This window comes from Homo sapiens, chromosome 12, assembly GCF_000001405.40.
Source record: "Homo sapiens chromosome 12, GRCh38.p14 Primary Assembly".
Lineage (NCBI taxonomy): Eukaryota > Metazoa > Chordata > Mammalia > Primates > Hominidae > Homo > Homo sapiens.
In genome coordinates this window covers 42,332,223-42,348,688 of record NC_000012.12, presented here as the reverse complement: position 1 = coordinate 42,348,688, position 16,466 = coordinate 42,332,223, and the positions used below count along the sequence as shown (strand labels likewise).

At 36.4% G+C, this 16,466-nt stretch overlaps 1 protein-coding gene across 41 annotated transcripts in view; it reads right to left on the bottom strand.

The window, feature by feature from the left end:
* PPHLN1 (periphilin 1) overlaps positions 1 to 16,466 on the bottom strand; it is a 122,455-nt gene that overhangs the window by 99,933 nt on the left and 6,056 nt on the right. For 24 of the 41 annotated variants that reach the window (XM_017019434.2, XM_011538459.2, XM_017019436.2 and 21 more), the window contains exons 2-3: positions 15,987 to 16,029; positions 12,715 to 12,806 (exon numbers count right to left, since the gene is read on the bottom strand). The exons of 1 other annotated variant lie outside the window; for it this stretch is intronic. In XM_017019434.2, coding sequence (XP_016874923.1) covers positions 12,715 to 12,806; position 15,987 — 93 coding nt within the window. In that variant the 5' untranslated portion in view covers positions 15,988 to 16,029. The remainder of the gene's footprint in view (positions 1 to 12,714; positions 12,807 to 15,986; positions 16,030 to 16,466) is intronic. 16 more of the 41 variants (XM_017019437.3, NM_016488.7, NM_001364827.2 and 13 more) reach the window with 1 other exon arrangement.

Below are 16,466 nucleotides of genomic sequence, written 5' to 3'. Positions count from 1 at the left end.
TTGTTTGTTTGTATACGATTATTTGGAGGGATGGTGGGGTGACTATGCATGCCTAAACACTTCTATGAATAGAGAGCTTATTATTTTACAAAGCACTCTGTTCCTTTGTTCAACTGCCCCAGTTATTAGAAAGTTATCTGGGGATTGTAAAATGTATTTGGTAAAACTTTGGCAGAAGTAAAATTCAAATCACACTTAGTTACTTATTTAGAAAAATTGCTTTACCAACTGAGGTAAATGAAAACAATCATTCTTTAAGTTGTTTAAGGCCGGGCATGGTGGCTCATGCCTGTAATCCTAGCACTTTGGGAGGTCAAGGCAGGTGGAGCACTTGAGGTTAGGAGATTGAGACCAGCCTGGCCAACACGGTGAAACCCCGTTTCTACTAAAAAAAAAAAAAAAAAAAAAAAAATTAGCCAGGTGAGGTGTGCATGCCTGTAGTGCCAGCTACTCAGGAGGCTGAGGTAGGAGAATCGCTTGAACCCAGGAGGTAGAGGCTGCAGTGAGCTGAGCTCGCACCACTGCACTCCAGCTGGGGCAACAGAGCAAGACTCCATCTCAAAAAAATAAATAAAATAAAAATAAAAGCTGTTTAATCAGCAAAAGAAAACAAAAATTCAATGACAGCTCTTATACCTGGCTATAAAGACCAAGTTGGTATTTCGAGAAAGTGTTCAAATATATGTACATTATACTATCTCTGCTCTGTAGATACCTGATCTTAAAGAAAACTCCCTAGCTATATGAAAAGATTTAAGGAAACAAAGATGACTGCAGGAGCCTGTAGCAAAGAGGACTGTATTTTTAAAGCGTTCGTGTCTTATCCAGGTATATCATTCAAGGATTTCTGTTCCCAATAAAATCTATGATGAGTGGCAAAGAATTCAGAATTTCCCTTTCAAATTCTTTGAGATGGAGTCTCACTCTGCGGCACAGGCTACAGTGCGGTGGTGCAATCTCAGCTCACTGCAACCTACACCTCCTAGGTTCAAATGATTCTCCTGCCTCAGCCTCCCGAGTAGTTGGGATTACAGGTGCATGCCACCATGCCCAGCTAATTTTTGTATTTTTAGTAGAGACAGGATTTCACCGTACTGGTCAGGCTGGTCTCGAATTCCTGACCTCAGGTAATCCACCTGCCTACGCCTCCCAAAGTGCTGGGATTACAGGCATGAGCCACTGCGCCCGCCCCTTTCAAAAAGATTATATTGTTGAAATTCAAACAGTATTTTTATTACCTGCATTGCCAGACATGAATACAAATAATAACACTGAAATTCTTATGCAAATCTTACATTAAGCTGTAAACATGTAATTTTCCTTTCTGTATGCTAACATAGGTACACAGACTTAAGGTACTACTGAAATGTTCGGAACCTCCATTTTAGAAAGATATTGGCAAAAAGTCAATTTAAAAATGGACAAAGACCATAAACAGGCATTTCTCCAAAGAAGACATAAAAATGGCCAGCTCCCCAGCTGTAGGCAGCTTTCTAGGTTGCCTTGTACCTAGGCAAGCATTACACTTCTGGGAGAACAGTAGCCAATAGCTGATTGGCATTCTGGCCTGGTTCATGCCACCTCTATGTTGACTACACCAGGATGCTAGTTGAAAAGAAACAAACAAACAAAAAGGCCAGCTGGGTGCAGCTGCTCACACCTGTAATCGCAGATACTTGGGAGGCTAAGGTGAGAGGATCCCTTGAGCCTAGGAGTTCAAGGCTGCAGTGAGCTGACTGGTGACTGCACTCCAGCCTGGGAAAACAGAGTGAGATGCCATCTCCAAGTAATAATAATTTTTTTAAAAAAAGGTCAACAGTTATATGAAAAGGTGCTTGACATCACTAACCACAGGGAAAATGCAAATTAAAACCACTATGAGATATCCCCTCACACCCTTAAGGATGGCTATGGTCAGAAAGACAAGAGATTACAAATGTTGGTGAGGGTATGAGAGAAAGAGAACCCTAATACATTGTTGGTGGGAATGTAGACTGGTACAGCCATTATGGAAAACAGTATGGAAATTCCTAGAGAAAGTAAAAATAAAACTACCACATGACCTAGTAATCCCTCTTCTGGGTATACTGTATACCCAAAGGCGATGAAATCACCACCTGTTCAAGATATTCACACTTCCATGTTCACTGCAGCATTATTCACAATTGCCAAATTTAGAAACAACTTAAGTTCCTATGGATGAACAAATGGATCAAGAAAATCTGGTATATAAATATATTAGTGGAATATTATTCATCCTTATAAAAAGAGGGAGATACTGCTATTTACAACACATGGATATACCCGAAGGACATTATGCTAAGTGAAATAAGCTAGATACACACACAAAAAAATATTGCATGATAATCATTTATATGTGGAATTTAAAAAAAACAAAAAAGAGCTCAAATACACAGAGATAGAGGATGAAACTGGTTACCACGGGTAGGGGAAGAAATGGGGAATGGTAAGTCAAGGAATACAAAATAGGTAAGTAAGATGAATAAGTCTAGAGATCTAATGTACAATATGAGGACCAAAATTAATAAAATTGTATTGCATTAGAAATTTTTGTGAAATATACAAATTTTAGGTGTTCTTATCACACAAAAAGGTAACTATGTGGGATGATGAATATGTTTGTCTCCTTCACTACAGTAACCACTGTACTATGAATATGCATCCATGTGTACCTGCATCTATATGTATCCCATAACATCATGTTGTGAATCTCAAATATACACAATAAAATTTAATGTTAAAAATAAGTAAACAAAAATAAAAAATGGAAAGAAAAAAGAGGAAAATACCTTGAAAAACAATGGCACCATAATATACAAACCAGAAAAAAAAATTATGACTTGTAAAGACTATCTTAAAAGGTTAACAGGGTCATTTTCAAGTAATCAAAAAATAAACTCATTGGAGTTGAAACATTTCTATTATTTCAAATGCAGATATTTCAAATCTTGAATTTAAATATAAAATCTCAATTTACTCAATCAATGATATCAATTTTCACTGCTTCTATTTATTAAAAATATCTACATACTAATATAAATATTAATATATATCTACATATTAATGATTATATAAGTATCCTTATTAAAAAGATCAGAATTTTCTGTGGATGTTACTAGAATTTCCAAAAAATATGCATAGAATTTATTGGATTTGCTACTCCAAAGTTAGTATTAATGGTGTTAGTATTAATGGTATGATCAGTCAGACCAAAAATAAAAAGTATATGTAGCTCATTTAAAATGAAAGGTCTATCTAATGATAATTTACCTACTCTGGCAGGGTATTAAAAAAAAAACTTGCACATAAACTTAAATACTTTTGGAAAGTTATACTTCAATGAAATTTAAACTTTCAAATCTGTCATCATCTTAGGGATGAGGTCTCACCCCTAAGATTACTACTACAAGACCCTCTAAGTGTGTGTAATAAGAATTCTTTGGTTTGCTTACGTTAATGAGAATCTGGTCAGAATAAAATACCTAGTTTTCCAACTGGTGAAATGGTTTTGTTAGAAAATAATCAGCTACTTCTTAATTTGCCATACATTCCAATATACCTATCGGTTACAGGAAATGCTTTCATTTTAGTAAGTAAAAGCACCAAGTTGATGGTTATTTGATTCAATATAAAAATCTGTATCAAATTTTTCACACTGGCTGGGCACGGTAGCTCACACCTGTAATCCCAACACTTTGGGAGGCTGAGGGGGGCAGATCAGTTTGAGGCCAGGAATTCGAGACCAGCCTGGCTAACATGGTGAAACCCCATCTCTACTAAAAATACACAAAATTAGCCAGGTTTAGTGGCACACATCTATAATCCCAGCTATATGGGAGGCTGAGGCACAAAAACTGCTTGAGCCTGGGAGGCAGAGGTTGCAGTGAGCCGAGATTATGCCACTGCACTCCAGCCTGGGCAACAGAGCAAGACTCTGTCTCAAAAAAAAAAAAAAAAAATCCACACTGTTGTTAAATCTCATAAGTAACTAGGTAAAAATTGTATGAATTACCATGTTTCTTTAAAAATATTTCTTTTCCAATATGTCATTAAAATTTACTCATTTTCACATAAAATCATTTAATTTAAAATGAAAGTATTAATATAAAAGTAAAAGTATTAAGCCCATCCCCCCCAAACATTTTTATCTTCTAGCAACACATATTGAAATACTTATTGACATTTTAAGTGTGATATCATGGTTTTACTTCAAAATAATCTAGGAGGGAAGAAAGTGGTAGAAGCATAGACAAAACAAGATTGGCAATGAAGCTGATAGTCGATTTCTCCTTTGGGAGTTGATCACATTAATGTGTGTTATTATATGCTTGATATTTCCCCTTATAAAACATCAAATAACAACGAAAACACACTAACCTACCAAAGAAGTAAATACGATGGCATATGTAAATAATCAATGCCATTATGTCCTATCACAATCAACTTACAATGCAAATGTAAGCCTACAAAACCTTTATTGGTCTTATTTACTGCTCTATTCCCAGCACCTAGAACAGCACCTGGCACACAGTAAGCACCACATCCATAATATATATATTATACCCTGCTATCTCAATTTTATTTTACTTCTGGCATCACATGCTTTTTACAGAAAAGTACCATACAAACCACACCTAACTAAAATATTCTATTACACAGGCTGGTAGGCTTTTGCTTTCATAAGCTTGTAATTTCCTAACTCTGATCCCTATAGTCTATGACATACATTCTTATTTTAGCACTTGTTGATTTATTTCACTCACTGATTCTTGAATGAAATATTGGTGTTTCTGAGTCATTCCAACGTCTTTTGGTGACAGTGTGTCAAAAACATAAAAACTGGTATCGACCCAGAGAGCTAAGGCATCTTATTCGAGAATGTAGCCAAGAATTGATCACATTTCTTCTGAAAACAGTGACAACAAAAAGAAAGTTAAGTCCTTGCAATTCTGTCAGCAAAGAAAGTAAAACACCTCTTAGGGCAACTCTACAGAAGGGAACATTACTAAATCAAACTCAGCAAAGAAACACTTTTTTTACATTTCATGTATGTAATTTTCCCATTAAAAAAAACTATTAAAAAATTGCACTCTAGCTAATAATACATATGCTTGAGTAGTTAACGGGAAGGATACTGTTGTCCACAATTTACTTTGAAATGTATTCAAAAACATAGATGGATTAATTGCATGAATAAATACATGATAAAGCAAGTTTAGTAAAATGTTAATAGTTGAGTCTAAATGGGGAGTATATGGATGGTCACTATAAAAATTCTTTTGACTGATGTATGTTTGAAAAATTCCATAATAAAATATTGGGAAGTTGTACTTACATGGGAAAATTTACATGAACACTGATGACTGTATAAAACAATAATAATATGTGGGGCATAAAAAGAACAGAAATTTAAATATGCCTGTGAAGATTTTGAATAAAAGTGTTTCATGAAATAAGAATGGAAAGAAAAAATATTTCAACATTAATACATTTTAAACAATGTTATATGGAATATGTATATAACTGAATTACTAAATTAAGTAGACCTGACTGTCAAGTTAGTCAAAAGAAAAATGTCTGGATTATGGTTTGAGTACATTTACATTTGAGAACAGGTGGAACTGATATGCATCCCATCTATTCCCTATAAAGGCTCAGATATTAACAAAATCATGTTCTGGATTTACTAAAGGATTTATTTTTGATTGGCCAAACTCTCTAGGAGAGAGAAATAAACAATGACAAGAATTATAAAAAAGATTCAATTAATCTAAGGAAGTAAATATTGTTATTTAACTACTTAATTACAAAAACTAATTATGTAACTCATATTTACCACAAATGTGACAGAAAAATAACGTGTTGCTGTTCTTGACATCACTACTAGTCAATATTGTTCTCCCTGCTGCTGCCAAAACCAGAAAAATCTTTTAATGCAAAATAATGTATTTGTTAAAGAAACAGAAAAATGAAGCAGGGATAAGCAGATAGGACTGCTTCAGCCCCAGCTCTGTTGTAATTGCCCAGAATATAAACTGCTAGTGCTCTGATCCTAATTTCCAAACATTACAACTTTTAAAAATTCTGAAACTGGAACTTCTCTCCCATTTTCAAATAAGCTAATGAAAAAATCGACATTTTATGTTGCAGCTTCATTAAAATGTTCCATATTACCTAACTGTTCTCCAACAGGCTAAGAAGCTGGAACCCCATAAGTGGAAGTTTACATGTATTTAAAAGCCATTCTGGGCTGGGCATGGTGCCTCATGCCTGTAATCCCAACGATCTGGGAGGCCAAGGTGAGAGGATCACTTGAGCCCAGGGGTCTGAGGCTGCAGTGAGCTGTGGCTGCTCCACTGCACTTCAGCTGGATGACATAGCAAGACCCTGTGTGTATGTACATATGAACGAATGAATGAATGAATGAATGAATGAATGCCATTCTGTCACAAAACTTGATAAAGGTTAAGAAATCAGATAACTAAGCTCATAGAAATTATAGGTTTAAAGACAGAAAGCATGCTTTAAAAACAAGAGCTTTACAGGTACCTAGAAGTGTAGATATTCTGTGGTGACTGATTTCCTTCCTATAGAAGAAGCATATATATTTACATACAAAATCTCTGTAGTGCACTTCTTTGAACTTTAGTCTGCTACCTACCTACCCAAGTTTAAGGCCAAATAAAAATTTCTGTGAAAGCCCCTTATAAAAGTGACTTACTATTTATACATAAAGAATTTAAAAGCGCCTGGGCGCGATGGCTCACACCTATAATCCTAGCACTTTGGGAGGCCAAGGCAGGCGGATCACGAGGTCAGGAGATCGAGACCATCCTGGCTAACACGGTGAAACCCCGTCTCTACCAAAAATACAAAAAATTAGCCGGGCGTGGTGGCAGGTGCCTATAGTCCCAGCTACTCGGGAGGCTGAGGCAGAAGAATGGCGTGAACCCGGGAGGCGGAGCTTGCAGTGAGCCGAGATCGCCCGCTGCACTCCAGCCTGGGCGATAGAGCCAGACTCCGCCTCAAAAAATAATAATAATAATAATAATTTAAAAGCATACCATAAAGTGCTAAAATAATGACTGGTACATTTGTTAAGCTGTATATTGAGGATAAGTTTGCCAAAACTCAAATTAAGTATAATTTAACATCAAAACCAAAGTATATTAGTGTTCAATTGTCTTTTCAGGTTTATCAAGGCTAGAAACTCAGAAAACAGCTGCTTTTATTAACGAGGTCATACTACTACAGAAGGTACCTTACCTTCCCAACAGTCACCACTTCACGTTGCACTTTATATCACATCTAGTAGTTCCTCAAATACATTTATTTTGTATCAGAATTGATCATAAATGGGGCAAAGAGTGTACTAAGAAAAAACGGAGAAGCCGGGCACGATGGCTCACGCCTGTAATCCCAGCACTTTGGGAGGCCGAGGCGGATCACCTGAGGTCAGGAGTTTGAAACCAGCCTGGTCAACATGGCAAAACCCCACCTCTACTAAAAAATACAAAAAATAGCCAAGCGTGGTGGTAGGCGCCTGTAATCCCAGCTATTCAGGGAGGCTGAGGCACAAGAATCGCTTGAACCTGGGAGGCAGAGGTTGCAGTGAGCTGAGATCATGCCACTGCACTCCAACCTGGGCGACAGAGCAAAACTCCATCTCAAAAAAAAAAAAAAAGAAAGAAAGAAAGAAAAAAAGGGAGAGAAATTCTGTAAAATTGTTTTTTGATAAAGAACAGGATTCAAATACATAAAACAAAATAGAATGTTACCTTCCTCTATTCCAAGCACTAACGATAGTGGGTTATCAACTTAACTAGTTTTATATTTTGCAAAAAAAATCTGCCTTTTCAAAACTTTTGAGGTATGCCATACATATAAAAAAGTGTACAAATCACAAATGGATAAATTTCACAAGGTGTAAGTACCACCCAGATTAAGAAAGAGAATATTCCCAGCGCAGCAAAATCGTTCATTGTGCGGTCTCCCAGTCACTACTGCCTCTTCCCAAAAGAAACCACTTTCCCAGCTAGTTTCACTTGTTTTGGAATGTTACATAAAATGAAACACGCAGAATAAACTCTTGTGACTGACTTCTTTCTTTTAATATTATATTTGTGAAGTTTATCCATGTTGTTGCACTTGGCAGTAGCCCATTGATTCTCATTGGTGTATAATTTAAACAATCAACTTCACTGTTGGACATCTGGTTTGTTGTCAGTTTGAAGCTCTTACAAATAATGCTTCTTATGAACTTTCTCATATACATCAATATGATATGCTAATATGGTTTTTAAAATAACTAGATTATCTAAGCAAATATTTTTAAATCTTTTTTTTTTTTTTTTTTGAGACAGGATCTCTCCCTCTGTTGCCCAGGCTTCAACGCAGTGGCACAAAACACAGCTCACTGCAGCCTCAACTTCCTGGGCTCAAGCAATCCTCCTGCCTCAGCTTCCCAATGTAGGTGGGACTACAGGCATGCGCTACTATGCATGGCTAATTTTTAAAATTTTTTGTAGAGACAGGGTCTCACATTGTTGCCCAGGCTGGTCTCAAACTCCTGGGCTCAAGTGATCCTCCTACCTCGGACTCCCAAAGTGCTCAGATTATAGGCAAGAGCCACTGTATTCAGCCTTAAGCTTTTAATAAGTTATATTTTTATTAAAGTAAGAAAGTATAACTATTTACATTTCTAGTTCAATTACTTTAACCCAAAGATTCAGTGGGTCCATTAAATGAGATGTGAACACAAAATTACTTTTTTCAACTAACTTTAGATAATAACAACAGCAGATGTATCTGTGACTTTGTTACCAAAAGAGATCACAGATAATTTTATACCATGTTACATCTAGCTGTTACAGGTATTGCAAAATATCATTTGTAACACTCATCACTACTTTGAAATTACAGCAATGAAACCACCACCAGTAGCTTTTGATATTTAATGACCTACTAAAGAACTATGTATTACTGTATCACAAATTTGGTTTTTAATAGCTTGATAATCATTCTCAAATGTAAGTGCACTTAGTTCTGTGCATTTTATTTATAGGTTTAAAAATGTTATTCTGAGAAGGGATCCATAGGCTTCACCAGACAGCTAAAGGGATCCATCGCACAAAAAAAGGTTAAGAATCTACACTTTATTTAACTAAGATGCAGGTGTAACACAGAAGGCACAGGGGATAATTTTCAAGAGCCATCTAAGGGGTACAATGTATTGAGGGAAAGAGAAGGCTTTAAATTACTAACCAAAATAAGGCCAAGTGCACCAGAAAAAAAAAATGCACCTGAGTCTTGGGAAGGAGGGATATGGATATACAGAAAGAAGGATTTGTATAAACTAGGAGAGGCTGATTGGGGGAACAGAAAGACCAATCTAATGGAATTGAAGAAAAAGGAGAGAAATGAACCTGTACAAGGTCTGGTCAGGTCCTGTGCTCTCAAAAAGAGAAAAACAATCTAGGCTCCTCCATGAGGAACCAAGCAGCCAGTTAACTTAAGGAAGTAAGGTTTACCTTTAGGCATTTAAGAGACAGCTGAATACATCTAGTCTGATTTTAAGGACAATATCTCCCTACCTGCTTGCTTCTGATAAAATTATTTTATGAGGGATAAGAAGCCTCTGTTTCATATTTACACAAACACAGATAATATTAAATGAAAATGGTTTTGTTTAGATTTTTCCGCAATATGCTGATTCATTAAAGACTTCCATCACCTGTCATTTTTACCTCAACTCCTGTCACTATGACTTCAATTCAAATACATCTGTATTTTTTAAATTCTGCATGTAAGAATCACTTGAACTTTTAAACAATACTGAGGTCCACATCACACCCAAAGAGACAATAATTTAATTATCTAAGACGGGGCCCATACAGTGTTACTAAAGAGCTCTCTAGGAAATTTTAACGTACAACAAGGATTGAGAGCTTCTGATCTAAATCACAAATCTAAAGTCTATCCTAATAGTTTCATTGCTCTCAACTCCAGTAACTTACACTAGCTCTCTATTCTCATTGTCACACACTGAACTTCACTCAAAACTGTTCCATCTTGGAAACCCCACACTCTAAAATACCGATTGCCTATCTTTCTACCATACCAAAGCCTTTCCTAAGCCTTTCCTGTCCCTCAACCACTCATTCTTTCAATTTCCTGTCCCTCTCAGCCTCACTCTCTTTCTTTATCAGCCAACACCAAATGGTGTATTACTTCAATAATTTTCTGGGTCAGCACCTTCAACATCCTTATCCCCTGGATCCACTACTCATCTTACAATCTTAAATCGATACAATAACCTGCTTTCCCCAGTCCCAAAGTAATAAAGCACACAATCCTACAGACTGGTGCCCAGTTGATGGCATAACCACACAGAAAACCCTTTTAAGTATCTTCAAAACACAGAATTTAAAACTCCTAATGGGGCCTGGAGTGGTGGCTGACGCGTGTAATCCCAGCACTTTGAGAGGCCAAGGTGGACAGATCACTTCAGGCCAGGAGTTCGAGACCAGCCTGGCCAACACGGCAAAACCCTGTCCCTACTAAAAATACAAAAATTAGATGCGGGTGCAGTGGCAGTGGCTCATGCCTGTAATCCCAGCACTTTGGGAGGCTGAGGGGGGTGGATCACTTGAGGTCAGGAATTCGAGACCGGCCTGGCCAACACGGTGAAACCCCGTCTCTACTAAAAATATAAAAATTAGCCAGGCGTGGTGGCTTGTGCCTGTAGTCCCAGCTACTCAGGAGGCTGAGGCAGGAGAATCGCTTGAATCCAGGACACAGAGGTTGCAGTGAGCCAAGATTGTACCGCTGCACTCCAGCCTGGGCAAGAGAGTTAGACTCCATCTCCAAATAAATAAATAAATAAATAAAATAAAATAAAATAAAATAAAATAAAAATAGCCAGGTATGGTGGCATGCAATCCTAGCTACTCAGGAGGCTGAGGCACAAGAATCGCTTGAACCCGGGAAGTAGAGGACGTAGTGAGCCAAGATCGCACCACTGCACTCCAGCCTGGGCTACAGAGTAAGACTGCCTCAAAAAAAAGAAAAGAGGCCAGGCATGGTGGCTTATGCCTGTAATCCCAGAACTTTGGGAGACCAAGGTGGGCAGGCCACCTGAGGTCAGGAGTTCGAGACCAGCCTGGTCAACATGGTGAAACCCCATCTCTACTAAAAATACAAAAATTAACCAGGTGTGGTGGTGGGCACCTGTAATCCCAGCTACTCAGGAAGCTGAGACAGAAGAATCGCTTGAACCCAGTGAGCCGAGACTGCACCACTGCACTCCAGCCTGGGCGACAAGAGTGAATGAGCCAAGACTGCGCCATTGCACTCCAGCTGAGGTGACAAGAGTGAAACTCCATCTCAAAAAAAAAAAAAGAAAAAAGAAAAAAAAAAACAGAACAATTCCTAATGGGATATATCCTTGGCAGAGTGGCAGAGGGGAGAGGGGAGATAAAGAAAAAAGTCATCCCTTTTCCCTACAGGTAAACTACAGAATAACCTTATCAAGTAAAAAATATAAATAAAAACATTGGGATTTTGATTGAAAACATGAAGTCTACAAATTCACCTGGAAATAAATGACATATAGTAATAATTAAGTCTGGCCATCCTGAAGTATAATGGGCATCTTTATTTTTTCCATCTTAAATCATTTTAAATCAACCCCAACCTGGATTGTAATCTAGGACAACGACAAACCTAAAGACGATACCACCCATCTAAGTGGGCTATAGGATTAAATGTTACATAAGTAAAAAATAACTAACGTAGACATAAATATTTGTGGCTTTTGATGGTATATAATGAATCTATAATATATTCATATACTATCACCACAACCTTAGTCCCTTGGTGCTTAGAATGGGTCTGTGCAAAAGTTTAAGTTAGCTTTTTAACCTTCCCCAAACCCTCCTTTAGACCTCCACAGGGAATTCTGGGGAGTCAGTACACATATTCACTCAAATAAATATTGAGCTTCTATTACCTGCTAAGTACTAGATGTAGCACTGGAAATAGTAAACAAAACAGTAAGTTCTTTGGGCTTAGAAAAGGCTTGGCTCAAAATTCCCAATTCCCAGAGCAACGAGAGACAAGAAGTAGGACAGCACACCAGAAGCTGCCTGTCTGCCTGACCCTGAGCCTCCAGGCATTCTTACTTACCAGTCAGACTGCCTGACCACAGGACAGCACACCTGCAGGAATCCTAACAAGGGATATTAACATGTTTCCACTCTAGGAAGAGTTCTCCTCTCTTAGAATGAAAGCCTACTTTTAGAATTTCATATATTCAATTTGTAACATTTTTAGGAATATAGAAAAAAATAGGTAACAGCCAATAACAGCAGGAGCAGGTACTCAAATACTTCTTTGCTAACTGATGGTATAATCTTTATAAAATCTGTAATTTTGTTCACAAATTAAATTCAATATAAACCCTTCATTTTAGAAATTTAAACAAGAAATATAAATAATAAGTTTTCTACTTAAATAAAATGTTGTCTTTTATTTTTGAACTTTTAACTTTTAAAAGATAAGCTTGATCTCTTTTGTAAACTACACTGGTAAATTTCTGACACTTGAAGATTTTGTTAATAGGCCTAGCTTTGGTGTATCAAATTAATTCAGACACCAGGTTTTTGAATCATTCAATATGTAGGAGTAACTTACACTGGGATGACTTCGAGGAGGTGCTCGTTCTCTCGGAATTCTTTCATATTCATATCGTCCCTCAGACCACATTTCGTCTCTTCTGTAAGCCACTAAAGAAAAAAAAAAGAATTATGGATTTTATACTAGGAAGTAACAGAAAAGGTAAGGAAGGAGTAAATGATTACTTTCCAACACAAATATTTTCCAGAGATCTTAAGAGAAAAAAAAAAAATGAAAGTGACCAAAAGAAAGAATGTTTCTTCCAAACAATTTTGAGATTTTCTTTAAAAAAAAAAAAAAAAAAACACGGAAAGCCCTATCTTCCTTCTTAGGCAAGACTATTTAAAGCTTCAAAGAGATTGTTGCCATCAATTATGGGAGGAAATTGGTGGCACACTTCAGACCACAAATACTTCTTCATTCTCCTACAGCAAAAAACAGAAACGATTCATTTTTTAATGAATCGTTTAAATGGCTGATCGGCAAAGTTATTCCTATTTCCTGGTGAATAGTTCGTATAAATAACATTAGTTTTTTGCTTTTCTACAGTCTTCATTTAATATATATCTACTCTCTCTATGTTAAATAATGTGTTTTTAACTGAAAAAAGTGTTAAAAGAACAATCCTGCAAAAACACACTCAACAATCCCTGAAAGAAACCACTCCTGATTTTTTTAACGCTATAAATTTATTTTAATGCAAAAGCCACCTCACAAAATGTGAAATTAAAAGTTCTGTCAACATTTTTCAGGTTTGGGATTCAGAGAAGGGGGGGGTGGGACGGTGTATTCTTTTCATAAATGCTTCCTACTTTGAGGAAGGTGAATATGGTGTTAAAGAATTCAAGGGTATATAGCCACAAGAAGAGATGAAAATAGAAACTGAACAGACAAAAGACAAGGTAAACAAGGCAAACAAGAGAAAATGAGAATAGGGTAGGGGAAAAGAGACCATTTATATGAAATGGCAATACTATAAATCAGAAGTTGGCAAATTTTTCTTCAAAAGATCAGACAAATATTTTCGGCCTTGTAGGTCACAGATCTCTTTTACAACTACTCACATCTCCACCCATAGACAATACACATAAATGTATAAGTGTGTAAACTGGATTTACAAAAACAGGCTAGCGCTTGCAGGCAGTAGCTTCACAACTTCTGGAGTGGATGACAAATGGTTAACAGAGAAGAACCAGGAGAAAGTGAAGCAATCATGAAGCAGGTTCTAAGCCAAGAACTGTGAACCATCCTGATGTACAGAAGAACCACCATGAGCAAAAAATGAAAATGGTCCAGGTAGTAAGTTAGTACCTTTCAGTACACAGAAAGTAGGGCACAGATATGTGAAGAAGAAACACATTTCAAAAAAGACTTAATGTCAAAAGATTTTTGGTGGCTCCTTATAATGTAATACTAAGGGAGGGGCAAACAGATAGCTACTCCATTTTGACAGTACAGAACAGCTATAGAATTCTAATGGTTCAGTTAGTTTAAGTTAAGGAAAAATTAAAGGCTGGAAGAAGGGTGCAACTTTTTTTCTTGATATTATTATAGCAAAGCAACCAATTTTCTCTGCAAAAACACAACTATAATATTTTCTAATACAAACAGACCCAATATAATGAATTAACTAGCCAAAGATGCCTAGGAAATCTTACTTTAAATTAAAAATTAACTTTTTCTCAAGACACACATTCAAGAGAAAAAAATTAGCTTTTAACATTATGCATGAATAAAACTGAATTCTCTGTCTACAATAAGACCTCATTTAATAATGTATGATTCCAAGCAATCAGTCTTTTAGGTGCAAGAACTATGGAAGCTTGAAAGGGAAGTAAATTGTCAACATTACTCCTCCTCCCCCACCTTTACTGAATCCACTAAAGGTTTCAGTCTAAAGAGTTAGATTTTATCCTTTTTAAGATACAGTACAGAGAAATAGTAACAGCAATGAAGTAAAGTCAAATCAAAGGGGAAAAATGTCAATAGCTATACCCAGAAGAAAAACAGACATATAAGCAAACAGTTCACAAAAAAATACAAATGGCTCTTAAAAATCTTTTGAAAAGATGTTCAACCTCCTTCAAAATAAAGAAGATGAAAACCAAAACTATAATGGCATACTTATTTTCATCCAAAAGCTCTGCAAAAATCCAACTGCAGTGATGAGATTAAGGAAAGCAACACTTACATAGGTTAGTAAAGGAGGTTGGCCGGGCGCAGCGGCTCACGCTTGTAATCCCAGCATTTTGGGAGGCCGAGGTGGGCGGATCACGAGGTCAGGAGATCGAGACCATCCTGGCTAACACAGTGAAACTCTGTCTCTACTAAAAATACAAAAAATTAGCTGGGCGTGGTGGCGGGCGCCTGTAGTCCCAGCTACTCGGGAGGCTGAGGCAGGAGAATGGCATGAACCCGGGAGGCGGAGCTTGCAGTGAGCTAAGATTGTGCCACTGCACTCCAGCCTGGGCAACAGAGTGAGACTCCATCTCAAAAAAAATAAAAATAAAAATAAAAAATAAAAAATAAAAAAAAGGAAGTATAATTGGTACAGATTGGGAAGAATTTGGCAATATTTATTAAAATTTTAAAAACACATATGCTTTGACCTGGCAATTCTACTTCTAGGTATACTTGTACACTTGCATAGCAAAGATTGAAAGGAACTTAAAATATCCATCAAAATAGCACAAATTAAATTGCTGAACCAATCAGTTACATTTATACAAAAGGAATATTTTGTATTCCTTTTGTAAATTGATCAATTATATTTATACAAAAGGAGTATTTTTGCAAACCATTTCAAAGAAAAGTAACCCCAGTAACAATATGAAAAGACTGCCAAGATATACTGCTAAGCAAAGAAAAGCACAGTAAAAAGACCAGGTATGAATATATATGCATATGTACAGACTACTCCTGGGAGTAACAAGAGAATGCAACAGCAATTGCCTCTGGGGAGAACTAGGTAGCTGGGCAGAGGATGAATATTTTACTGCATAATGTATATATACTATTATGTATTACAAAAGTATGTAACTGTTTTTAAAGTTCCTGAAAATCATTCAATAAGCATAACATGTGAAGTGATGATAAAAATGATGAATGTAAATTAATATACTAAAGGAGAATGTAAATAAAAATAAGGTTTTGTAATAAATGAGAAAAATAAACAATAAGAGTTCTAAAGAAATAGTATGTAGTTTAATACTGAAATATTAAAATTTACCGGTGTCCCACAAAAAATGTAACAATAACTACTATATTAAATACTACTATACTATACTTACTTGAGTCCTTTTAGGAATCAAATTTAACGTTTTCAACAATTTCCTGTAAGGGGGGGAAATACAGACGTAAAGATTTGTGTCTGTATAAACCAACCAATATAGAGAAATAATTAAATCTTCATTAATTGTATAAACAGAACTCTCAGGCCAAACTCGCTTCAAACACACTCTTGAAAATAGAAGATATCATTTTGGCCACCAGAGGCCACCCAAGTTTCATAAGAACAAAATTATAATAACAGAATTCTAGTCCTAGAAGTCTAGTCTAGAATTTTGCCAGTTGAGAGCTGGGCAGGTCATCTCTCTTATCCTTATCTCTGAGATTGTACTAGATGTTTAAGGTTGTTTTTAGCTGTTATTGTAAACAATGACTTCAAAATACCTCCATAGTTTAGTATGATGAAAATTACCATCTCCTATGGTAATTAGAAGACAGAATACACTAATATCACCTTATATTCAAATGGAAACTTGCAATTT